Source organism: Homo sapiens, chromosome 12, assembly GCF_000001405.40.
Source record: "Homo sapiens chromosome 12, GRCh38.p14 Primary Assembly".
Lineage (NCBI taxonomy): Eukaryota > Metazoa > Chordata > Mammalia > Primates > Hominidae > Homo > Homo sapiens.
Window position 1 is genome coordinate 12,007,482 of NC_000012.12, and position 25,481 is coordinate 12,032,962.

Here is a 25,481-nt window from a genome sequence, read left to right on the forward strand (position 1 = left end):
AAATAGACTAGCAAAGTAGCCAAGAATACAGAAATGCCCTCATCACCTCACCAAAGCCCGTGTCCCCTCATGTTGCTCTGGGAGGGCTGGGCCACCCACAGGAGACTTGCACAGGTTCCGGGGACCCCAAGCTGCTGGCAGAGCCCCCCACCAAGTCCTGTCCAGCTTCTGGGGCTCTGTGAGCAGCATGAGCCAATCCTCCTCACACACATGCAGAGCCTCAGAGAAGGAGCATCATCCTCCATCCTGCTGCCCAGGACAAAAACCTGGAAATTCTCCTTGACTTTTCTCCCACTTTACTCCCCAAGTCTAATAGGCTCTAGGTCCTTATATCTCCCAAATCCACTCACCTCTTGCTATCCCCATAACCACTAACATAGTTCTGGAACCCACCACTGAAGCGTGTTCTAACTTCCTCCCGTCTGTCTTCCTTCCTGTCACTGAAAAACTGATGGCAGTCCTTCCTCTGCTTATACCTCTTCATCAGCTCCCTTCCACCATTAGAATAAGGCCCGAACTTCCTAACGTTGCTTCGATATCCGCATGAGCTGGCCTCTGGTCTCCTCTCCGGCTCTCACCAGGCTTCCCTGCCAGCTTTGTCCCGCCATACCAAACTACTTCCAGTCCCATACAAGTGCCTGTCTCCCTTTCACTCCTGGACTCAGAAAATTCATCTTGCTTTCTCTGGAAATCATCTTAACCTCACGCCCCTTACCCTTGGCCCCATCAGGCCAGATTCCCTGGGTTAATTCCTGTTCTTGAGACTTCGGCTGTGATGTTTCCTACTTCACAGCTCTTTCGGGGCTGGGTGAGCGGCCCTAACTTTGTGCTGCCGTAGCCACTTGCATTTGCCAAAACCAGAGCATATCATCCTCTGCATCATAGTGGGTTTTTTTTTTCCCACTTATCTGTCTCTCCATCTAGATCTGTGGTTCTCTACTCCCTGTAAAATAAATTAGAGTCATTGTTTTTTAAAAAAAATGCTAATGCCTATTAAACAAAAATCTCTTGAGGTGGATCTGGGCATCAGAGTTTTTTAAGTTTCCCCCAAATAATTCTAGTGGGCAGCCAGCGGTGGGCGCCACTGAGCCAGACGGTCTTTGTTGCCAGTGCACAGGGAACAATCCTCAGTGTCTGTTACACAAATGAGTCTCTGATCATTCCACTTTGGTCTGCAGGGCAAAAACTCTACAGAGAGGGCATGGAGAGGAAGAGATGGGTCTTGAAGAAGAAACTTGCACTAGGGAGGACCCACACCTCCCCCCTGACTCCAGCTCCCTCTGGTACAAAACCCCAAAGCTGAGCTGTGGGCCCAGCCCCACCCACATGCAACTCTGCGCTGTTGGAAAGGCTTGGAAGTCAAACAGCAATCTACTCCTCTTCATGGAGGCAAGGATAAATTTTCTTTTCAAAACACTTTAAATTTTATCACCTCTTCAGAACAAGTACATGAATGAATAAACTGAGGCTCCAAGAGACTGTGAGTGGCCCTCGCCTCAAATCTCTAGAGCAAGGCAGAGCAGAAATCAATACGTGACTCCCCAGGAGCAATTGGCCTCGTCCTGGGTGGCCTCTGCGCCCACCCTAACTCTCCTGCCTCCTAGAGCAGGCAGGGCTCGCCCCGAACCACCCTGCCTCCTAGTGCTGACAGAGGCACATCTGCAGGGTGAAGAATCTGCAGGCAGGATGCAGAGAGTGGGAGGAGGAGGACAATTTCGCACCTGAGTGATCCTTTTCATAAAAATGGGATCACGTTACTTCCTACTAAGAGAAGGGAAATGTTATCCGAGAATGTGGGGCTCTCATTCTCGGATATGAGAATGTCTCTGCCAACAATGCCTGGCCTGATCTTACCTACCCCACTTCACCAGGGGCACTCACAGCTAGAATCTGCTGAGAACCCTCAGGCTCTCAATGGGTGTGACTCATCTCTTCCTCTATTCCCTCTCTGTAGAGGTTTTGCCCTGCAGACCAAAGTAGAGCGATCAGAGACTCATTTGTGTAACAAACATTAAGGGTTGTTCCCTGGGCACTGGCAACAAAGGCCAACCCGGCTGGCTCTCTGAGCTCAAGAAATCACAGCATGGCTCAGCGGTGCTCATTGCTGGCTGCCCACTAGAACTATTTGAAGAAACATAAAACTCTGATGCCCAGACCCACCTCAAGGGTTTTGTTTTGTTTTGTTTGTTTTTTGAGACAGAGTCTTGCTCTGTCACCCAGGCTGGAGTGCAGTGGTGTCATCTCAGCTCACTACAACCTCTGCCTCCCAGGTTCAAGGACTCCTCCCACCTCAGCCTCCCAAATAGCTAGGATTACAGGCACACACCACCATGCCTGGCTAATTTTTTGTATTTTTAGTAGAGACAGGATTTCACCATGTTGGCCAGGCTAGTCTTGAACTCCTGACCTCAAGTGATCTGCCCGCCTTGGCCTTTCAGAGTGCTGGGATTACAGGTGTGAGCTACCGCACCCAGCCAAGAGATTGTTTAATCAGCAAAAGGCTGGGCAGGGCAGTGGGGCCTAGGGCGGCACTTGCTATCAGATGTCTGGAGGGCAGGGTTGGCTTTGGCCATAGATGGACCTCGGTTCAAATCCTGGCTGGCCATACCACTTACCAGCTCTAGACCTAGAGCAGGTTAACATCATGAATCTAAACTACTTACCACTTAACAAAGTGAGTGACTATCTATAACTGTTGCCGTTGTTACAAGAAATCCACTTAGTAACTGCACTGAAAGCCCCTCATCCCCAAAAGGCAAGAAATGGGGAACAACCGGGTGACTAAGGAAAACTGCAAGTGAAAGCAGCTGTAATTTCTCTCGCTGTGGTTTGCGGTGCTCAACACTCTTGCTTGGCTGGTTGTCTTGGAGGGTTAATGAGGTCTCTGCTGAGTGTCCTCAGCTTAGCAATGGGCAGTGGGGCTCTGTTCACAGTCTCATCCCGGCCACGTGGCCTCCCGGGTTCAGACACCCTAGGCTGATGCTGTGGTTCCATGTGCCTGAACACGAGCATCCGAACTCATTTCCGGCCTGCCTGTCCCCCCATGCAACGGCTCCTGAAAAAGGGGAACCAAATGCTGCCCATTTCACCCCCATCAATAGCTGACAACGCCTGGGTTCCTGCTCTCCTGACATTCCCACTCATTGTCGTCAGTGGAGCGAGCAGGCAGAGGGGAAGTGAGCTGCCTATCAGCCCCTGCAATCAGAAAAAGAGCCGGGTGCCTTTAAGACGAAGGTGGTGGGCAGCCATCCATCTTCCCTAAACACACACTCGCCTTGTTCTTCCATTTCTGGCTGAGTGATAAAAACGTTAAATGTCATTTCCTGTATCAGTGGTTAACCACTAGATGCTGGATCAGAGATTTACCAGAAGTGCTGAAGTTATGGAAAAAAAATAAATAAACCTGCTGTTTTCAATAACCCTTTCTTGCACCCTGTGGGAACTATGTAACCTCTGGGGAGGGGGCTGCGAGGGGGTCGCTGGATTTGACTTGGGCAACACACTTAGGACTAGATTTACCAAATGCTTTCTTATGCTTCATATAGGAAGTGAAGAGAGACAAAATGTAACCATCCTATACCTGTCCCCAAGTGCGCGTGTGTGTGTGTGTGTGTGTGTGTGTGTGTGTGTGTGTGTGTGTGTAGAAACGCTGGGAAAAGCAGGAGGAAAAATCATCCACGTGCCTTCTTTGCCCACCTCTCTCAGGATATCTTGCAGTCATTTTGGTTTTATTGACCCAGGGTTTTTGCAGAGGACAGTTGCCCTGACTATTCGATTCCCTCAGCTTCCTGCAACAATCAATGTCCTCCAGTGACAAGAAGGCTTCCTGGGGGAAAACATGCTCCCAGGAAACTCCTGAGAGGTGGAGAGCCCAGCTCAATCCTTTGTTGTGTCCTCTTCTTCTTTCAGTTGCTCCATTAAATTAATCAAGAGCTCAGAAAAGGGAAGGCCTGGCTTAGCCCCCAAGGAGAGGTGACTGGACCGACTGCAGCCTGCCCACAGCTGTACTCCAAGCCCAGCCATGCGCTTCTGACCTGAGGTCAACTCCCCACATACAGCTGCCCTGGGCTCCTCCCTGCGGCCTCCCAGGCACTCCCCTCAGTCTGGACATATAAGACTTAGGAGCTGCACTTTGTTCTAGCAATTCCATTTCCTTCCCAGTGCCAGTTGGGATGTGCTGTGCACACCAAGTGCCCCTAGCTCCTCACCTACCTCTGGGATCACTGACAGTCCTGCTTTACCTGGGACCGAAGGGATTCATGGGGCGGCCGGGGCGGGGGAGGGAGGACTTTTGTTTCTAAAACTGGGAAAGTCCCAGGCAAACCGAAATGAATTGGTCACCCCCGCAACAGATACAATGGTTTGCATAGGCACTTGCACGTTCTATGTCAGAACGGTGGCCAAGAAATAAAAAATAATAAATATGATTTAAAAACCAGAAAATAATTTTTAAAAAATTTAATAAACATAAGATAATTTTTTTAATAAAATTAAAAAAAAAAAGAAACTGGCCAAACTTGAGAACAGATCTAGCCAGGGTACTGAGAACTGCAGACGGCATTGCATGGTATAAGAGTTCCCTGGGGAGATAGGACGGAGCGCATCACAGATCTCCCACTGCACCTGGCGCATACCTAGAAGTCATCCTCTCTCAATTCAATAGTTACTAGAGGAGATCTGAAATCAAAGTCAGAATCAGAAGGGAAAAGAGCATGGGAAAACGTACATTCCACTAAATCTCTTGTAGGCCTCTGAAACTGAAACTTCTTTTTCCTTCCTCGCGCCCTTGAGTACCAACACCATCAGCCCCCCTGGTGCCCAGGACACAAAGATTCGAGAGATGCATTGCTCTTTACTCTGCCTCGCTCCCACTTCATTTTATTATTATACCTAGACCTGATTTCCTGCCACCTAGGATCTCTCCTCTCCACTTCCACTTCTATGACTATCCTTCCGCTGTCTCTGCCCTCAAAGACTGGCCTCCATCCTCTCCAACCTCAATTTCATCTGCTCCCTGGCATGTTAGATGCTCCCTACTTTTTCAAATTATATTCGAGAAGTGTTTATTGAATACCTAGATCAGAAGGATGCCAGAGAGGTCGCACCCGGATTTCATATGGCATTGGACATTTCTCATGGATGCCTTTTTGAATGACACCATCTGTAACATCTTACTGACTGAGAAAACCTCCTGGACACTGCCAGCAAAGCTGGGCATGGCCTCCCTTGCTTCCTGGTGCAAATTGCCACTTAGCCCTCATTACATTGCTATGACGACTACTTTCTGTTTCCATCTTGTCTACCAGCTGCGAACCCCAGTGTCTTATTTACCCTGTTTTCCCAGGTCAATCCCAGACCTTGACAGATAGTGGCCATTAAATACATGTAGAAAAGAAGATGGTCTGGAGATGAAAGGGGGAAATATTGGGTGGATGCTATTATACTTCAATGGGTCTGTAGCCATTTGAACATATACATTTCAAAGGCTATTGATTATGGTTGGATCAACCTGGAAGATGATCCCTATTAGAGAACCAAAGGTCTCAGCCCTGGGCCCTATCCTAATGTTTTTACAAACTTCCTGGATAAAGATTAAAAAGGTACCCAAAACAGATTTACAGATAAAACCAAAGCTGGGAAGTATCACTAATATGTAGAATGCTAGAATTCATGTTCCAAAATTGTCTTGGCTTATGAGATGGATAGACCAAAACTAAGAAGGTAAAAATACACACCCAATTAGTGTAAAGGCTACACTCGTAGTAGCACCATCACTAGCACAATGAGGAAGATGTGGTTCAGCAGCAGTTCGGGTGAAAAACTCCTAGCAATTCCTAGTCTTTGAGCTAGAAGAGAACGTAGAGGACTATCCAATACAGAGAGTCTCAAGCTCTTTTCAAACAATAACATTCATCAAGTGGAATTTCATGCAGAGGCCCTGTAGGTAAAAGAATTTTTTTTTTTTTGGGGATGAAGTCTTGTTCTGTCGCCCAGGCTGGAGTGCAGTGGCATGATCTCAGCTCACTGCAACTTCTGCCTCCCAGGTTCAAGCGATTCTCATGTCTCAGTCTCCCCAGTAGCTGGGATTACAGGTGCATGCCACCATGCCTGGCCAATTTTTGTATTTTTAGTAGAGACGGGGTTTCACCATGTTGGCCGGGCTGGTCTCCAGCTGGCTGGTCTCGAGCTCCTGACCTTGTGATCCGCCTGCTTCGGCCTCCCAAAGTGCTGGGATTACAGGCATGAGCCACCGTGGCCAGCCGGTAAAAGAAATTTTTTAAAGGTGCTGCTCTGGTTAGGAGTAAGGGAAAGGGGTCTAACAAGTCAGCCTCCAACCAATTCGCCCCTCCCTGCTATCTTATGAAGACCCCTGAGGCACCCTCCCAAACTCCTGGGGCTCTTCTGAGTGAACACTGTTTGAAAACACAGACCTGAGTCAATCCCCTTGCTCTACACAGCTGCCCATCTGGTGAGTGTCAGAATTCCCCCGAACCCTCTAATCCCTCAGCCGGCTTTATTTTGTGTTGCATTTCATTTTTCTTTATAGTTTTTGGCCCTCCATGGCACTGTATGCTGCACTTCACTCTGTGCACCGCCTGGCTGTCTCACTGGAGTCCTGCTGTCTTTTTTCCACCAGTGCATCCCTGCTGCACGGAACACAGTGGGAGGAAGATTTAATGGGAAAGGAATGAATGAACTGGAAAGGAACCCAGGTATCTTGACACCCACCCAACTTGCCCTCCCAGTAGTGTAACTGTCCCCAACAACAACCAAAGCCAAGATCACATTAGGCTGCATTAGGAGATCAAATGGGCCCACCGTACTCATCATGGTTCAAGCCTTGTCTGGAATAGTGTGTTAGATTCTAGCAGCTACATTAAAGGAAACAAATGTGGCAGAAGTGGCATATAAATAATATTATTGAGGGATGACTTTGTGCCAGACATACTGTACATTCATCTCATCTAGTCATGACAATTATGCTGTAAAGTAATTATTATCCTCCTTTTGAATCTGGGGAAACAGAGGCTCAGCACGTTTCAGTAATTTCTCCAAAGGCCTAGGATTCAAACCCCTGGCAAAGCTTGGGTTCTATCCACCACACCGAGGTGTCTCTTGGAGGGGCCCCCAAAAGGGCAAGAAGAGTATGGAGGATCTAGAAATCATGACCAGTGAGGCCAGATATGGTGGCTCATGCTTGTAATCCCAGCACTCTGGGAGGCCAAGGTGCAAGGATCCCTTTGAGCCCAAGAGTTTGAGACCAACCTAAGCAACATAGGAAGACTCTGTCTCTGCAAAAAAAAATTTTAATTCGCCAGGTGTGGTGGCATGTGCCTGTAGTTCCAGCTCTTCAGGAGGCTGAGGTGGGAGGATCGCTTGAGCTCAAGAGTTGGAGGCTGCAGTGAGCCATGATCATGCCACTGCACTCCAGCCTGGGTGACAGAGCAAGATCATGTCTCAAAAAAAAAAAAAAGAGAGCGAGAGAAAGAAATCACGACAAATGAGACATTTAGCCTGGAGAGAATCAGACATACATGACAGGCTGGGTGGGGAGTGAGGAGACCATGACAGCAGTCACTGAAGAAAGAAGAGCACTTTTTGAGGAGGGAAAGTGCTGAGACTCAAGGCCCCTTGTCAGGTGAGGTGTAGAGGAGATTCCCAGATCGGTAGGAAAGTGGCCCAAGAAACTCTGGGCTGTGTTTTGGCCTTGCTGCACATTTGTGGGTGGAGACAATTCCCTGTGCCCACCACACACCCACACCATCCTCTATCACCACATCTTCTGTGCCACAGGCTCTCCCGAGCTGTCTGCCTGTTTATTTTCCTGTGACGAGAGGGACCAAGCAGCAGCAGCAGCAGCGGCATCATAATAACTGCCCACAAGTTGTAGTTGGAATAATTTTCAGAATGGCTCGAGCTCTATGGTTAAAGAAACGACTGCTGGTGGAGTGTAGTAAACAGGCCCCAGCCACAGAACACAGCAAGTGGGCACAGGACATGGGAGTCCAAGAGCAAGGCCCGGGTCCAGGACGCAGCAGGGCTGGGAGGAGCTGACCACAGGACCCCACTCCCCGCAGGGCAGCACTTCATCCAGGGCCCTTCCCTGGCTGCGTAACTGCCCAGATTCGTGTCTCCTGATCTGTTGTAACACACAAAGGCATAGAGCAGAACAGGAAACTCAGGAAAAAAAAAATGGTCTTTTCCCTCTTGAGTGTCTGCTCTGATAAAGACCCTTCCCAGAGGCTGGTCCTTGTCTCAAGCCCACTAGAAATTCTGCCATGAGTGTGAGTTTTAGAGACACTGGGGAAAATAGAATACACACCAGCAGCCATCTCGCTCTTGGTTGATCAAAATAGAATCATAATAGTTCTCTCTTCCCTGTCCAGAATCACCTTCTTCCCATTTTTCTGTGCCCCCTGCCGAGAAACCAACCAAGACAAGGGGTCAGAAGAAGCACTGAGAAACCACTGGAGAATTCACAAGGATAGTCAAGGTTGACAGGGTCCATGGAAAGACCCCTAAAAGTACCCTGTCTAGAATGTGAGAGCTGCAAGGGCCTGCAGAGTCATCTAGTCTGACTGTAAATATATTCAACTGCGGGCCATATGCGGTCTCCGTCACAACCACTCAACAAAAGCAGCCATAGACAATACATAATACAATGGCCATGGCTGTGTTCTAATCAAACTTGACTTATGGTTATCAAAATGTGAATTTCATATAATTTTCATACATTATGAAAACATTACTCTCCTTCTCAATTATTTAAAAAGGTAAAAGGCATTCTCAGTCCACTGGCCGGACGAAAACAGGCAGTGGGCTCAATTTAGCGTGTGGGCCACAGTTTGTCAATTCCTGATCTAGTCCAAGCCCTTCCTGAGACAGAGGAGAAATCTGACTCCTAGGAAAGGCAGCGACTGGTGGTTCAGTGTAGGATTCCCATCCACACACAGTATTCCATTCTTGTGCTGGGCTCTTGCCCATGCAAAGTGATATTTCAGCTGCCCTCATTTCCCTTGGGCATGATGTGCCTGTACTGTGAGGGCAGCAGCCTGGTCTAAGCCCTGCCAACTGTAACATCTGGAATGGAACTTCAGGACTTGACAGACTCTGACTCTGTCCCATTTCTGCACTCACTCCCAGGATGACCTTGGGCAGGTCCATCACCCTCTCTTGATCCCATCAGAAACTGCAGACATGGGAACCACACGGGTCATCTCTGAGAGTGGGTCTTCAGTCATTGTCCTGCCTTCCCCTCTCCTGGGATCAGTACCAGCAGGCCCCTGGCATCTTCTCCAGCAGCCATCTCTCGGAGCAACCAGTTCTGAGGCCACCAAAGTATAGTGACTTCTGGGCAGGAAAACTAGGGATGGAAGCAAATGAGTTGTCTGTTTTCATGCAGATGAAGTCGTGGGAGGACGTATGATTCATGTGTTGAGTGCTTTTTCAATAGCATGTTTCTATCATTTCTGGAAGACAGCAAGTTAGTTTCCCCCCGAGGTGGTGGGAGAGGATGTTGTTTGTGGTTTTCCCTTTTAGAGGGGAGTTACATTTGTTTTTGTTGTTGCTTTGTTGGTTTATCAATTTTTTTGTTTTGCTGTGTTGTGATTTGTGTTCATGAGGAGTTGGAGATGGCGGTTGGGAGAGAAAGTTTTGGAGGGGTAGGAGGAAGCAGAGCCTATGTACAATGTCTACAGGGGCTGATCACACAAACAAGGTCAAGGTGGTTCAAAGTCATAGTCAGATGCCTGGGGGCCTGCCAAACACCACATGCCTTGGTTAGGAAATTAGTGACAGTTTGACATCTGGGTCTTGTGTGATTGCCATCCAAAGATAAGGAAGGGAAAGAGGAGAGTCCTGGCATGGAGTTCCAAGCAGGCTCAGAGCCCCGGGCCTGCCTTTCCATCACATTAAAGAATGTGGCTGCTGTGCCCTGGAGCGGTTCCCTAGTCACACCAGGTGATGGGAGCCAGGAGCATGGGATAGAAGGAGCCTGGTCACTGTCCAGCCCAGAGTATCGCTCAGTGTTGGCTCCCCTGCCAGTCTCTTCCAGGGTATCTGACACCCAAACAGGTTGGTGCCTGGAATTAGGGTATTAGGCCACTGGACCTTCTTGGGGAGCTCTAGGGGGTCTCTGGGAACTTGAATAAGAGCTGCTCCAAAAACTTCTCTGAATCCTGCACCCCTCCCTTAGCAAGCAGTATGCTGGTAAAAGGTTAACAACCAAGTATCTGGCGAAAAAATGCCCTGATTCATAGCATTTGCTAACTCCCATGGTGTAAATACTCTCCTACCTTGGCCAATTTCAAGTGGCCAGTGTTATGTTAACTAGATCACAAAAATCCTGAAAATTAACATTGAGTTTTCTCAAGCCAGAATGAGCCCCTCTTCTACACCACAGCCCTGAGCCCTCTGGAACCAAAGGAGAACTCAGAAATCAGGAATCATTTGGTCCCAGGCTTTCCAGGTGCCAGAATGAACCACGAGCTCCCGGTGAAGCCGCAAGTTTTATGAGTCTGCAGCACCTCACAGTGGAGGGACCCTGGTGGGGGCAGGAGGAAGGAACGGAAGTTGGCTAATTAGAGACCCTAAAAAGCCCCCAGAGAATGCAAGTAAGAGAGAAAAAGGGATTGGGAGTAAATGCTAGGAACTCAAGCATTCAAACCTCTGTGTGGTCCACAAAACAAAAACTGTGAGGTATTTAACCACCTCTCCTTCTTATTTCCTGAGTGTGTTCCTGTCTCAGTCCATCATTTTCCAGAGAAAATCTTCCTAAAGGATGTTAGGAAGCAGCTGTCCATCCCATATCCCTGAGAAGGGGTGCCCTGCCCCTGCAACGTACTAAACACAAGGTGGTGGCTGACATGGAGGAATCTGTCCCCTACACACATAGGACCACTCTGCCAGCCAGGCCCAGGTAGCACCTGGGATGAACTCCCCTCACCCTGCTCCCTGGTCCTCTCCCTACTAAGTCCCATCTAACACACTCCTGCTTGGCTAAGGGAGGAAAATCGCACCTCCTCCAACTCCTCTGATGTCCCTACAGTCCATCCAAACTCACTTACAAGAGTAAGGATTCTTGGATCGACACAGGCCCCTTCCCTTGGGCAGTTTCGGCTTAGCAGGCGTTCTGGGAAGACAGCCAAGCAGTAACTCACTTATGAAAGACTTCATTCTGTGCCTGCTCTCCTCACCCAACAGCTGACACACATGGACCCCCCTCGCTGCCATTTTAGTGGCCCTGGCTGGTCAGAACCTACTCACCTGGCCCGAGAGGCCCACAGTGTCCTGCCTCCACTCCCTTTCCTAGAGCCCTGGATTCCATTCCTACCTCTGCCGCTAATTGCCTCGAACACTCATTTAATCTCTTCTGACTATGGTTTCCTTATCTGGAACACACAAATGGTTGGACTTCAATAATATTCCATACAAGTTTTATAGAAAAATAAGATTTGTTTGGAACTTTAAAGCGATCAAGTATTTTCACTTAATTATTACAAAAAGTATGTGATATAAGTAGTAATATTAGATAATATTAGGAACTGAGGCTCAGAGAGCCTGGGAAATGCATTCCAGATTACCTGGATAAGAGGTAGCCCACCCAAACTCGATCTCATTCCTCTGACAGCCAACACTGCACACAGACACCTGAGCAAGTTGCTACAACTGGGATCCCACAGCAGAGTCCCACAGCTGTTCCTCAGTTAGCATTCATGTCCCTTTGATTCACCAGTTTAACACAATAAATTCCGTTCATTCTAGGCTGAGAGACTAACGTGAATACGCTCAATGTCCAGGAGAAAACTAGGGTCTGTCCTGAGCAAAGTTGGTGAGTGAGCGCCATTTACCTTCCCTGAGCCCCCCAACCTTCTGTGCACAATTCTATGTCCTATACCTTTGCCTTTGCAATCTAACATTCTTCCTTGTCTTTTTTTTTTTTTTTTTTTTTTTTTCTGTTAGAGTCAGGGTCTCTTGTTCCGTCACCAAGGCTGGAGTGCAGTGGCACAATCATGGCTTACTGCAGCCTCATACTCCTGGGCTCAAGCGATCCTCTTGCCTCAGCCTCCCAAGTTGAGGACTACAGGCATGAGCCACTGCATCTGGCACCTTTCTTGTCTTAATACTGTTCTAGTCCATCCAAAACAACAACAACAACAGCAACAACATTTCAATCAAAGAAACATACAATACTGCCTCCCCACCTCCTGCAATAAAACAAGTGCTGACACCCACCTTCCACAAAAGAGGAGAAAGGGACCCTTTCACCCGACATGAGGGTTTCTTTCACTTTTTTCTTTCTTTTTTTTTTTTTTTGGTGGGGTGACAGGCTCTCACTCTGTCGCCCAGGCTGGAGTGCAGTGGTAAAATCACAGCTCACTGTAGCCTCAACCTTCTGGGTCAAGCGATCCTCCCTGAGCCTCGGCCTCCTGAGTAGCCAGGACTGCAGGAGCACACCACCACCATTCATTAGCGGCCCTGCCTGACTAATTTTTTTATTTTTTATAGAGATATGGTCTCATTATGTTGCTCAGGCTGAACTCAAACTCCTGGATTCAAGCAATCCACTCGCCTCAGCCTCCCAAAGTGCTGGGATTATAGGTATGAGTCACCGCGCCTGGCCTATTTCACATAGTTCTCGCCCTTAGTCCTATGCTGCCCTGTCTACCTTGGGGCAGAATTTTTCCATCTGCCCCAAGCGCTGTATTCTTATAACCATCCTGTCTCTTTATTTATTGTATGTCCTGGATGCCAGCGAGGCCCCCCTCTACACACACACTCAAGAAGGTTAAGGCAAGAGGAAGAAACAAAAAGAGGGACAATTTACTGCCCTTTACATAGCACTTTGTCATAACAATACCCTTCCAAAGCCCTCACTGAACGGTGAGAACAATCCAATGAAGTAGGTTTTGTTATGTCTGTTTTTACAGAAAAGGACACTGAGGCTCAAAGACTTTGTAGGTCATTCACCTCGTAAGTAGAAGAGCCAGAATGGGAATCCATGTTCATCTGACTCCAAAGGCAATGGAATGGCCAGGCCCCTCCCTAGGAAATTATCTAATAGGACTCTTCAAGGATATTTGCCTTTTAACAGGAGTGTCTTGAAGCCAGGGTCTCACAAACCAGGCAACAGAGCTCGAAGCGGTCATACCCAATACCTGCTGATGCAATCATATGGACCCAATGGGTTTGAAGCGGGGTGATCTCTTACTGCACCAATTAAATAGTCATCAGTTCTACCAACCATAAAACCAACCATAAATGTAAACAAAGAATTCCTGATCCCACGGGTCTGGACACTAAAAGTGTCCCCAAACTTAGAGAAGTTCTGGAAAAGAACATATCAAAATTTTGGCTTTGCTCCAGATGCTATAGGAAACTGTACGTCACAAGAGTTCTCCATTATTGCCCAGACAATGGAAATAGCAACCACGCAGCACCTTCTAAAATCCCTTGCAGTCTGAGACGTGTGGTGGAGACCCTGGTTTTCATTCATTATGCATGAACCCAAAGTACAGACTTGCAGACCTTCCTAGAAATGAGTAGTAAGTTCAGACCATCAGAATATTCAGAAACCTGATGTATTTCAGAGACTTTAGCAGTAAAAAGGGGTCAGAACACTAGAATAGCTGTCTGGTGAAATCTAGGAGCTTTGTTCATAAAGACATTATGATTCAGTTAATGAGATTTGGCAAGGTATTAACCATCTTGGTAGACCAATAATGGTTGGCTGCTATGGAGTTTAGACTGGGAAATAGAAAACTGAACTGTTATCAGAAAAGTTTGAGATACTTTCCTATACTTTTTGTATAAGATGAAAGCCTGCAAAAGATGAGGCTCAAAAGATATGGAGACAACCTAAATGTCCATCAATGGATGAATGGATAAAGAAAATGTAAAATATATATATATATATATATATATATACACACACACACACACATATATACAATGGAGTATTATTCAGCGTTAAAGGGCCGGGGGCAGGATCCTGTCATTTGCAACATGGATGAACCTGGAGGACATTATGCTAAGTGAAATAAGCCTGATTCAGAAAGACAAATACTGCATGATCTGACTTATGCAAAAAATCTAAAATAATCAAACTCACAGAAGCAGAGAGCAGAACAGTGGTTGCCAGGGGGTAATAGGGAGGGAAAATGGGGAGATGTTGGTCAAAAGGTAAAAAGTTTTAGTTATGCAAGATGAATAATTTCTGGAGGTCTATCGTACAGCACGGTGACTATAGTTAATAATACTGTATTGTACACTTGAAACTTGCTAAGAGGTAAGATCTTAAGTACTCCCATCACAAAATAAGAGAAAATGACTACTATGTGAGGTGATAGAGATGTTAATAGCTTGACTGTGTGATCATTTAATCATGTATACATATCTCAAAACATCGGTTGTACACCTTAACTACATACAATTTCTATTTGTCAATTATACTCCAATAAGAGTTGGGGGAAATGGAAAAAGATGAGCTTCCATAAATCATCTGAGCATATCAGGAAGTGAAACATGCAGGTGTTGAGAATAAAAACATAATTATCTGCTGGGCGAGGTGGCTCACGTCTTGAATCCTAGCACTTTGGGAGGCCGAGGCAGGTAGATCACCTGAGGTTAGGAGTTTGAGACCATCCTGGGCAACATGGTGAAACCCTGTCTCTACTAAAAATACAAAAATTAGCCGGGCGTGGTGGCATGTGCCTGTAGTCCCAGCTACTTGGGAGGCTGAGGCAGGAGAATCGCTTGAACCTGGGAGGTGGATGTTGCAGTGAGCCAAGATTACACCACTGCACTCCAGCCTGGGCGACAGAGCGAGACAGAGAGAAAAATAATACTAATAAAATAAAATTAATAATAAAATAAAACCGTAATTACCTAGTGTGTGGCCTTTCCTGGAGAAAGGCTCTGCACACTGCCCAAGAGCAGGCCTTAATGCCATGAGCTGAACCAGCGGGGCTGGACTCAAGGGTTCAAGGGTGCGGAGTGAGAGGAGAAACAACAAAGGGAAACTGGGGACAGCTGCTCTGGTGAACTCAAGGAAGCCACCTGAGATGGGGAGGGAAGGAAAAGGGGGTTAGTAGAGCTTCAGGGAAACGCAGAGGAGAAGACTGATTTCACCCGGTGATAGAAACAAAGGAAAAGGGAAAACAGAAGCCACGTTGTGGTGGTCAGTGCTGCAAGAAGGACTCTAGGAGAGATAGCTTCTAATGAGAAGAGGAACCGGGGCCAGCAAGACTGGCTCCAGGAGGAAAGTTCTGTGAGGTCCATGAAAGAGGAAGTAGGGAGGAATCGCTGTTGAAATTCTCATTGTGAATGGATGGATCCCAAGTCCTGGAGGAATGGGCAGAAAACAGAAAGCAAAGAAAAAGAAATGTAAAAGAAGGCTTCAAAGCCTAATTAAAGTCATATAAAGAGGATAAAGAGTAATTCAAAGAAGCAATGTGAGAAAAGAAACACTAAAAAGAAGACAAGAGGACCCTAGGGAAGGAAAAACTGGGTGTACATTTGTGTAAGAAATCTAGGTATTACCTGTTTGAAGCAGTTTATTCACCAGGAACTAGGAAAGGAACTGGCTCTGTGGATTTCCTTACCAGACAATTTTCAGAGTGAGATTTTTGTTTACAGTTTATTATAAGAACCTTCCAAAGACTTATGGGATCTGGATCTGATGATACATAACAATGCTTATGACCTAAAAAAGCAAAACGATTCACTTCATGGAAATGCATGTTCCCCGAAAGAAATCCATAGAGCCCCCTAATGAAATTTTCAAGAGAAAAGCTATGTACAAACATATGATCCGCTTCCTAAACGCCACAAGAAAGGTACAGGTGGAAGGAGTAGAGGAAGATTTCCACGGATTCTTGAGAAAAAAATGAAATGGGAAATCTAAGACGAGTGCCCAACAAACCAAATAATGCAGGTTTCAAGAGCACAGAACTGAATGGGGTTTATTTAAACACACATACCAGCTGCTGCCACATGGCTACCAAATGGAAACTGAGCCAGGAGGGTGGCCCAGTTTCTAGGTACAAGAAAGAACAGAGGTTGTGACGCAACAGGAATGATGTTTCCATTTGTATTTTATGAAGTTAACAGCCAAAATTCACCTCTGAAAACCTAAGTTTGGCAGTGGTATAAAGAAGGGAGGAAATTCCTGATGGAACAAGAAGGGATTAAAAACAAAAGAGGGGAGATCAGCGGGAGGGCAGGCCTCTGATCTTCCCTGGCTGGCAGTGGTGGACAAGTAGGAAAATGATGTGAGCAGATGCTCAAGGAAAGTGGCCCTGAAATCAAAGGCTTTGAAGAGATAAGCAGAGTCCCTCAAGCAAAGCAATAAACAGAGAAACCAGGATGAATACATTGGAATCGAAATGATGAAATGTAAAGTACCACAGAGAGGTTTCTAGAAAAGCATCCAGAGATGGAAATGGGGAAAAGAGAAAGATACAGCAGAAATAAATTGCATACGAGATTCTAGTGTGTGCTAGAAATGTAGGGAGGAAAGAGTGATGATAAAATTAAAAGAAAGAAGTGGATAGATCTTAGTGGCATGATTGAAATGGATAATGAAAGGGATCTTTATGAAACTGTTGCCAGGAGAAGGAAAGATATAGAAAGCGAAAAAAAGGCTGTAGGTTAATTCCAGTATGACAAGAATAACAAAGAAATGCATGAATTCTCAGCCAACAGCCCGTATCAAGAGACAAGCATGTTCTGGCTGTGTGTGAAGGGCACACCATGCCAGGGGCTCTCCCTGCCAACGCCTGCAGACTTTTGCTCCTCACCTGGACCTCACAGCGCACCTGTTTTCAATGACACATGGCGGAAAAGGGTCAAAAGATGAATAAGGCCAGGCGCAGTGGCTCACGCCTGTAATCCCAACACTTTGGGAGGCCAAGGCGAGTGAATCACTTGTGGCCAGAAGTTTGAGACCAGCCTGGCCAAAATAGCAAAACCCTGTCTCTGCTAAAGATACACAAAATTAGCCAGGTATCGTGGCACACACCTGTATAATACCAGCTACTGAGGCTGAGGCACGAGAATCACTTGAACCTGGGAGGCAGAGGTTGCAGTGAGCTGAGATCGCACCACTGCACTCCAGCCTGGGTGAAAGAAGTGAGACTCTGTCTCAAAAAAAAAAAAAAAAAGGATAAAATGATACTCATTTCTTCCTTGGTCCCATCGACAAACATTTATCAAGAGATGTCTACGTGCCAAGCACGGTGCTTGATACTGAGAAAATACAATAATTGATAAGCAACATAGATATTCTGACAAAAATGGAAGCAAAAAGGGGAGGAGGTCTAAAATATAGAATTTTCCAGATAAGACAGAGCAAAGTTCAAAGCCGTGAAAATGAGAGTCAATGTGAAATATGACAGAAATGGGGACACCAAGGTGGACACAAGATGACCGTATATTCTCCTCGAAGGGGAACAAGATAGGAAAGGAAAGTGGGAAACAAAAAGTGGAAGTAACGTCAAGAGCCCCTAATGGGGCTCTAATAGGCTCTAACCTGAGTCCTAGCCCTTACTCAGCTGGTTCCCAGATGATCTTGAGCAAAGTGCTTCTGTGCTCTGAGCCTCAGTTCCCTTAACTATAAAATAAACTAATGATGTCTGGTCTAACTTGTGGTTGTCACCACGACACAGTAAGGGGTATTGGTTGTGCCCTCCTGCCATAAACAACAATAAAACTGGACGAATTATATGAAACTGTTTTCAGGTGCAACGCTACAGATGGTGCAGGGATGTGATGCTTGAGAGAAGAAACACAAGAGGTGAAACCCACATTTACTCTGGCCTCCTGCCTGGGGCTTTCCAACCACAGCACGCGGAAGTGGAGCCCAAACTGAGGATGGAGGAAAGAGACCGAAGGTTAGGGCTGCTGCAGGGATTGAGTGTGTGGGACAGGGTACGAGAGAGGCAGGAGCTGCACAGAGCAGAAATCCAAAAATCTGCAGAGGAGACCACCTGAATCTAGTTGAAAACAAAACTGCACATGTACAGGGTAATGTTTTCACAAAGCCTAGTAGAGAATAGGTAGCAGGGGCAAGGTGCAGTAGCTCATGCCTGTAATCCCAGCATCTTAGGAGAGGCTGAGGCAAGAGGATCGCTTGAGCCCAGGAGTTCAAAACCAGCCTGGGCAATATAGCAAGACCTCATCTCTACAAAAAATTTTAAAAATTAGCTAGGTGTGGTGGCATGCACCTATAGTTCCAGCTACTTGGGAGGCTGTGGCAGGAGGATCCCTTGAGCCCAGGAGCTTCAGGCTACAGTGAGCTAAGATTGTGCTGCTGCACTCCAGCCTGGGTGACAGAGTGAGACCCTGTTTCTTAAAAAAAGAAAAAAAAGAGAGAGAGAGAGAGAATAGGTAGTAGGAGCTGTGCACTGAACAGAGATTCCAGAGGTCACATGGTGGGAAGAGACACTGTGTTCTCAGTGTCCATGGTGGAAAGAGCTTGATGAACAGCCTGGGCTTTCAACAGAGGCCCGGGAAAGGCCACACCTGTGGAGCTGGGCCACCCCAGCACTAGAGAGAGGCTGCACTGGACCCATCAAAACAAAGCCAAATTACAACACTCAATAATGGATCCAAGCGGATCCACCAATAAATTAACCACCTGCCAAAACAAATGCAATGATCCTTACAGGAAGATAATAAAACCATAATGTTTGACATGTAATAAAAAATTACTCAATGTGTAACAAGGAGGAAACAAGTAGTATAGAAAGCAGCCAATAGAAAGAATCCCAGAGGTGATACAGATGGAATTAGCAAAGAAAAACTTTAAAATGACTAAATATATTGAAGAATTTAAAGGGAAAAAGTGGACATAAGGAATGAAAAACAGTTACTCATTGGAAAATAGACATTATGAAAAGAAACAAGATGAAAATCATGGGACTCAAAAATCTACAATAACTGCCTGGGCACGGTGGCTCACACCTGTAATCCCAACACTTTGGGAGGCCCAGCCGGGCAGATCATTGAGGCCAGGAGTTCAAGACCAGCCTGGCCAACATGGTGAAACTGTGTCTCTACTGAAAATCAAGAAAAAAAAAAAAGAACTGGGCGTGGTGGTGGAAGCCCGTAATCCCAGCTACTAGGGAGGCTGAGGCAGGAGAATCGTTTGAATCCGGGAGGCAGAGGTTGCAGTGAGCCGAGATTGCACCACTGCACTCCAGCCTGGGCAGCAGAGCAAGATTCTGTCTAAAAAATATGTTTATATATGTATCTAAAATAACTGAAATAAGTCACAAGATGGGCTTAACAGAAGATTAGACACTGCAAAAGAAAAGATTAGTAGACATGAAGACAGAATAATAAAAATTATCCAAGCTGATGCACACAGAGCAAAAAAGGACTAGAATAAAAGAATAGAGCTTGAGTTACACATATGGGATATTATTAACCAGTCTAACAGATACATAACTGTAGTCTCAGTAGGAAAGCAAAGAGGAATTGGGGCAGAAGAAATATTTCAAAAAATAATGACCTCCTAATGTGACAAAAAAGTACCAATCCACTGATCCAAGAATCTCAATGTATCTTAAACAAGATAAACACAAAGAAAACCACATTTAAGCACATCATAGCCAAACGTTGTAAAACAATGATGAAGAAAAGATCTCAAAAGAATTCAGGGGACAAAAAAAAAAATCCCACCTGACTACAGTGGTGCAATAATGAGAATTATCACTGACATCTCACCAGAAATGTTGCAATCCTGAAGATAACAGAATCCCATCTTTGAAGTTCTAAAAGAAAAAAAACTGCTAACTTAGAATTCTACATCCAGTGGAAATATCCTTCAAAAATGAAGGCAAAATGAATAAATAAAAGCTGAGATAACTTATCACCAGCACAACTGCACAATGAAAAATATTAAAGAAAGTTCCTCAAGCCAAAGGGAAATGATACCAGATAGAAACAGAACTATAATACACACAGGAATGTGCCAGAAATGGTAAATCTATGGGGTCACTATAGAACACTTTTATTTTTTAATTTCTTTAAACTACATTGTCTGCTTAAAGCAAAAATGAAGTCTCACTAATTCAAGTCAGACTGTGCTCAGCTAAGGAACTGAAATAAAAGAGTTGTAGGTCAGAAGTCAATAGAGGAAAGAGAATACTCACAAGCACTTCATTAACCCAAAAAGAGGCAGGAGAGTCGGGGAGAAGGAACAAAGAATAGATGGGAAAATCTAGAACAAATAGCAAGATGGTAGAATTAGATGCAACCTAACTCAATGCTATGGTGAATGAAATGAAACCATGGCAATGGAACTCTGGTATAGCTGCCCTCATCACACGTGAGGCTCTGGCTGTGCGTTTCTGGGTGAAGGGGAGGAAGGTGACGAGGAAGGAAGTAGAAAAGCAAACTTATGGGACATAGAAATTCTAATAAAATAGGTTCTAGGTGCTCAAGCCTAGAGACATGCTTCTAAGTCCAACTACTCACTGTGAATACCTGGTGGAAAGATGACACCCTTTCCACCAGGGTGGATGACGTCAAGCAGACCCACCAATAAACTAACCACCTGCCAAAACAAATGCAATGCTCTTTAAAGGAAGACAATAAAGCCCATAATGTTTAGCATGTAATAAAAAATTACTCGGCCTGGCGCAGTGGCTCACACCTGTAATCCCAGCACTTTGGGAGGCTGAAGCAGGTGGATCACCTGAGGTCAGGAGTTCGAGACCAGCCTGGCCAACATGGAAAAACCCCGTCTCTACTAAAAATACAAAAAATTACTTGGGTGTGGTGGCATGTGCCTGTAATCCCAGCTACTCAGGAGGCTGAGGCAGGAGAATCGCTTGAAACCGGGAGGCGAAGGTGGCAGTGAGCTGAGATCGCGCCACTGCGCTCCAGCCTGGGCAACAAGAGCAAGACTCCAACTCAAAAAAAAAAAAAAAAATTACTCAATATGTAACAAGGAGGAAACAAAAGCAGTCAACAGAAAGAGTTCCAGAGGCGATACAGATGGAATTCCACCAGGAAAACTAGAAAAAGGCTCTGTCTACAGAAGGGACAGTGTAAACAGAATGGCAGAAGAGAGCAGAAACAGAGGATCTAGAAAGAAGAAGTATAATCCAACGCTGACATAGGGAGGAGGGAACTGTAAAATTAGAATCTGACAAGGTTTTAATAGGCAATAGGCAACGATCAATTAAAACAGGGCTGTCATGATACGTCTGGACAGACTCAGTTATTTGACCCATGAAGGTTCTGGAGATGAAGGCACTGCAACACCAGGTCTAAATGTGTCATCCCAAACATTTGTAGCTAAGTGGCAGAGAGAAATGACCAAGAATGATTCAGTTCAGTTCGGCACTCGTTTACTGGGGACCTTCTGACACCAGGCTCTGTGTCAGGTACAGAGGATATAAAAATTACTAAGACCAAGTCCATGCCTTTAAGGGGAAACCCAGTTCTACTGGGGGAAACAGGCATGGCAACACATCAGAAAGTAGTGTGTCCAAGCATCCACCTGTCACTTACCAGCTGAGAGAGTCTGGATATGTGCCCTGCCCAAATCTCATGTTGGATTGTAATCCCCCGTGTTGAAGGTGGGGCCTGGTGGGAGGTGACTGACCCACGGGAGTGGATTTCTCATTAATGGTTTAGCCCCAACCCCAGGATGCTGTCCTTACGAAAGTGAGTTCATTCTCATGAGATCTGGTCGTTTCAAAGTGTCTGGCACCTCCCCCTCCCTTGCTCCTGTTTTGCCACGTGATATGCCTGCTTCGACTTTGCACTCCACCACGATTGGAAGCTTCCTTAGGCCTCCCCAGAAGCAGATGCTGCTATGCTTCCTGTATAGCCTGCAGAACCATGAACCAATAATACCTCTTTTCTTATAAATTACTCAGTCTCCGGTATTTCTTTGTAGCAGTGCAAGAATGGCCTAGCACACCAGCTATGTGGCTTTGCACAAATCCTTTAACCTCAGTTTCATCATCCATAAAATGAGGATAATAATAACCACCTAGCAAGACTAATGTGAACATTCTAGAAATAATTTTAAAAGTGCCTAGCTCACCACCTGGCCTATAGTAATTCAGCAGCTCTCAACTTGAGAACAAGACACACATTAGAATCTAGGTGGCAAAAGGAGGGTATTTCTAACTAGTCCCAGCCTACCTCCCACTCATATCCTGATTCCCCTGGAAGGATGTGCCTACCTATTCTAAACCCATTACCCTGGATGAAGAAACACTATGTCTCATGCACGATATAAAGTGTGGGAGTGTGTTTTGCATGTGAATGATGCATAGGTAGAATAAAGTTTGAGAATCACTCTGTAAGCATTCATCTCAGTTCAACACTTATAAAGCACCTACTGTGTGCCAGGCTCATAAAAAAACTAGTTTGGATTATTTCCACATAATGATAGAGGTATGTATAAAATCCTAAGAGAATATAATACAGGAGAAGGCACTCAGCCTGGGGGGTCAGGAAGGCCCACAAGCCTTGGCAGTTACCCGGACTAGCAAAGGTGAGAAGATCATCTCAGGGGAATAGAAAGGTATAAGTTGGCAATAGCATGGTGTGTGCAAGGAACTAGGATCCAAGCATCAAACAGGGTCAAGGAATTAAATATTTGGGAGAGGCAGACAAGCGCAAGTTTATGAAAGACATGCAAAGAAACCTACTTAATCCTGTGGGTGGTGAGAGCCACAGAAGAGCATGATGAAAAGGAGACCCAGGCTCCTCTGTGCTCCAGGTCAGTATCTCTGAAAGCAGTTCCCAAGCTAAATGTCATGATGAAAGCACAAGGAGCCTCAGAGAGCTCAGCCTGCAGAGGAATTCATTCCTCAGGGGCAGTGTGCACTGCTCACTCAACTTTGCTTCTCCAGCACCCACCCAAGTCTGACCCCACTGGAGGCACTAGGTTCATTGTACAGAACTGATATTAATAAACTTCCTTATCCAGAACTTGTGCAATAGCCGAGCATAGTGGCTCAGGCCTGTAATTCCAACACTTTGGGAGGCCACGGCAGGCAGATTGCTTGAGCCCAGGAGTTCGAGACCAGCCTGGGCAACATGGTGAAGGCCCATCTCTACAGAACTACAAAAATTAGCCAGGAGTGGTGGTGCACGCCTGTGGTCCCAGCTACTAAGGAGGCTGAGGTGGGAGGATCTCTTCAGTCTAGGAAGTCGAGGCTGCAGTGAGCCATGATTGCAACACTGCACTCCAGCCTGGGCAAAAGAGTGAGACCCTGTCTCCAATAAAAAAAAAAACAAAACAAAAAAGAGAACCTGTGCATTTTAACATTATCTCCAACTATGGAATTCATTCAATCACCAACTTTTATTAACCATCAAGCAGGGAGGGAAGATATGAACAGAAATACAGTCAGGGCTTTACGACAGGGATACATCTGGGAAATGCATCATTAGGCAGTTTTGTTGTGTGAACATGATAGAGTGCACTCACAGAATCCTAGATGGTACAGCCTACAGCCTACAACACAAACAGGCTACGGTGTATAGCCCATTGCTCCTTGGCTACAAACCTGTACAGCAAGTAACTGTACTGAATATCATAGCCACTTGTAACACAATGGTATTTGGGTATCTAAACAAACCTCACGTGAAAAAGGTACAGTATAAAAGATTAAAAATGGGCTGGGCGTGGTGGCTCATGCCTGTAATCCCAGCACTTTGGGAGGCCAAGGTGGGCGGATCACGAGGTCAGGAGATCGAGACCATCCTGGCTAACACAGTGAAACCCCGTCTCTACTGAAAATACAAAAAATTAGCCGGGCATGGTGGCAGGCGCCTGTAGTCCCAGCTACTCAAGAGGCTAAGGCAGGAGAATGGCATGAACCCGGGAGGCGGAGCTTGCAGTGAGCCAAGACTGGGCCACTGTACTCCAGCCTGGGCGACAGAGCGAGACTCCATCTCAAAAAAAAAAAAAAAAAAAAGATTAAAAATGGTACACCTGTATAGGGCACTTACCAAAATGGCTGTTGCAGAACTCGAAGTTACTCTCGGTGAGTCAGTGAGTGAGTGGTGAGTGAATGTGAAGGACTGGGATATTATTGTCCACTACTGTAGACTTTATAAACACAGTACACTTAGGCTACACTGTTTATTTTTAAAATAAAGTAATTGAGCTACAACATGACAATGGCTACAGCGTCACTAGGTGATAGGAATTTTTCAGCCCCATTATAATCTTATGGGACCACCTTCATACATACAGTCGGTTTTTGACTGAAACATCATTACATTCAGCACGTGAATGTAATTGCGATGAAGTGAAAGATAAAGGTTATAGTTCTAGTGTATCCACAGTGCTTTAGGAGATGAACTGTTAGGGAAAGCCAGAAAAATCTCCACCACGGAAAAAATATTTGGCCTGCGTCTTGAAGGATAAATAGGAAGTCAGTACTCAGACAGGTGCCAGTGTTTTTCAGCCTGAGGCAGGGAGGTATGAGAGACAGCTGGAAGGGTTTGAGAATGGGTGGTGAGAACTTACACTTACTGGGGACTGGATATAAGAATGCAGTAAGACGTGGACCTAGCACCGTGATTTTTCGACCTGGGCTACACATCAGAAACACCTAGCGAGCTTTTAAATCTTCCAGGGCCCAAACCACATTGTGAACCAATTAAATCAGGACGTCTGGGGCTAGAAGCCAGTCATCAGTATCTTTTTTTAAGCTCCCAAAGTGATTCCAATGTGCTGCCAAGTCTCAGAACCACTAGTCTAGAAAGGAGGGATAAGGATTTTCAGCAGCCCCCACAGAACCGGCCCTCCTGGTGACCCTGCAATCCTGGCACACACACCCCACCCCGCCTGGGAGAAAGACCGGCCACACCACAGTCATCGGCTGTTTCCTGCTGCTCCTTTCCTCCCACCAGCATTTTACTCTGAAATAGTGGTTCTCAAAGTGTGGTCTCCAGACTGTAGCATCAGCCTCAGGGGGAAATTCTTAAAAATGCAAATTTCCCAGCCGCACCCTGGACGCATTCACCCAAAAACTCTGGGAGTGGAGCCCAGCAACTGAGCCATGCTAAGGTTGGTGAGCCGCTGCTCTGGAACATTGATCCCTCCCAAACTGCAGCAAAGCAAGCACCTGGGTGTAGCTCTGGCTGTGTAGGTGCTACTACAATCTGCTGGAGTCACTGCTTGTCGGCAGAGATGCCGTGGGAGCTGGCCTGGGTGCCTCCACGTTGGCCGTCACCACCAGGCAGTGGCCTTTGGCCTGGAATCGAAGGTACCAGAGGGCTGATAGCTCAGTTTTTTTATGGCACCAAGAAAAGACTTTCAGATTGGAGGTATGGGATTTTCTTTATTTTTTAATCCTCTTTTAATATAAAGTGGCCCCTTAGCAAACTTTCAAGATATTTCACATCAGAACTGGCCGGGAAATCCGGCATGTGGACAGACACGGATATGCCGTGTGCATTTTTCCGTTGGAGGAAGAGGGTAGGCTTGGGTGCTGGAG

At 46.1% G+C, this 25,481-nt stretch overlaps 13 annotated features.

The window, feature by feature from the left end:
* Positions 991 to 1,871: an enhancer, noted in NCBI's record as "OCT4-NANOG-H3K27ac-H3K4me1 hESC enhancer chr12:12161406-12162286 (GRCh37/hg19 assembly coordinates)". NCBI's record gives its function as "activates a minimal SCP1, AML or CMV promoter by ChIP-STARR-seq in primed H9 embryonic stem cells {active_cell/tissue: H9 hESC(primed)}" and the evidence as "EXISTENCE:reporter gene assay evidence [ECO:0000049][PMID:30033119]".
* Positions 1,537 to 1,666: an enhancer, noted in NCBI's record as "active region_6000". NCBI's record gives its function as "activates an Ori minimal core promoter by ATAC-STARR-seq in GM12878 lymphoblastoid cells {active_cell/tissue: GM12878}" and the evidence as "EXISTENCE:reporter gene assay evidence [ECO:0000049][PMID:35858748]".
* Positions 1,872 to 2,752: an enhancer, noted in NCBI's record as "OCT4-NANOG-H3K27ac-H3K4me1 hESC enhancer chr12:12162287-12163167 (GRCh37/hg19 assembly coordinates)". NCBI's record gives its function as "activates a minimal SCP1, AML or CMV promoter by ChIP-STARR-seq in naive and primed H9 embryonic stem cells {active_cell/tissue: H9 hESC(naive and primed)}" and the evidence as "EXISTENCE:reporter gene assay evidence [ECO:0000049][PMID:30033119]".
* Positions 1,872 to 2,766: a biological region, named in NCBI's record as "OCT4-NANOG-H3K27ac-H3K4me1 hESC enhancer GRCh37_chr12:12162287-12163167".
* Positions 2,647 to 2,766: an enhancer, noted in NCBI's record as "active region_6001". NCBI's record gives its function as "activates an Ori minimal core promoter by ATAC-STARR-seq in GM12878 lymphoblastoid cells {active_cell/tissue: GM12878}" and the evidence as "EXISTENCE:reporter gene assay evidence [ECO:0000049][PMID:35858748]".
* Positions 2,753 to 3,633: an enhancer, noted in NCBI's record as "H3K27ac-H3K4me1 hESC enhancer chr12:12163168-12164048 (GRCh37/hg19 assembly coordinates)". NCBI's record gives its function as "activates a minimal SCP1, AML or CMV promoter by ChIP-STARR-seq in naive H9 embryonic stem cells {active_cell/tissue: H9 hESC(naive)}" and the evidence as "EXISTENCE:reporter gene assay evidence [ECO:0000049][PMID:30033119]".
* Positions 2,787 to 2,836: an enhancer, noted in NCBI's record as "active region_6002". NCBI's record gives its function as "activates an Ori minimal core promoter by ATAC-STARR-seq in GM12878 lymphoblastoid cells {active_cell/tissue: GM12878}" and the evidence as "EXISTENCE:reporter gene assay evidence [ECO:0000049][PMID:35858748]".
* Positions 3,997 to 4,146: an enhancer, noted in NCBI's record as "active region_6003". NCBI's record gives its function as "activates an Ori minimal core promoter by ATAC-STARR-seq in GM12878 lymphoblastoid cells {active_cell/tissue: GM12878}" and the evidence as "EXISTENCE:reporter gene assay evidence [ECO:0000049][PMID:35858748]".
* Positions 4,707 to 4,756: an enhancer, noted in NCBI's record as "active region_6004". NCBI's record gives its function as "activates an Ori minimal core promoter by ATAC-STARR-seq in GM12878 lymphoblastoid cells {active_cell/tissue: GM12878}" and the evidence as "EXISTENCE:reporter gene assay evidence [ECO:0000049][PMID:35858748]".
* Positions 16,582 to 16,631: an enhancer, noted in NCBI's record as "active region_6005". NCBI's record gives its function as "activates an Ori minimal core promoter by ATAC-STARR-seq in GM12878 lymphoblastoid cells {active_cell/tissue: GM12878}" and the evidence as "EXISTENCE:reporter gene assay evidence [ECO:0000049][PMID:35858748]".
* Positions 21,285 to 21,354: a silencer, noted in NCBI's record as "silent region_4249". NCBI's record gives its function as "represses an Ori minimal core promoter by ATAC-STARR-seq in GM12878 lymphoblastoid cells {active_cell/tissue: GM12878}" and the evidence as "EXISTENCE:reporter gene assay evidence [ECO:0000049][PMID:35858748]".
* Positions 24,823 to 24,872: an enhancer, noted in NCBI's record as "active region_6006". NCBI's record gives its function as "activates an Ori minimal core promoter by ATAC-STARR-seq in GM12878 lymphoblastoid cells {active_cell/tissue: GM12878}" and the evidence as "EXISTENCE:reporter gene assay evidence [ECO:0000049][PMID:35858748]".
* Positions 25,323 to 25,422: an enhancer, noted in NCBI's record as "active region_6007". NCBI's record gives its function as "activates an Ori minimal core promoter by ATAC-STARR-seq in GM12878 lymphoblastoid cells {active_cell/tissue: GM12878}" and the evidence as "EXISTENCE:reporter gene assay evidence [ECO:0000049][PMID:35858748]".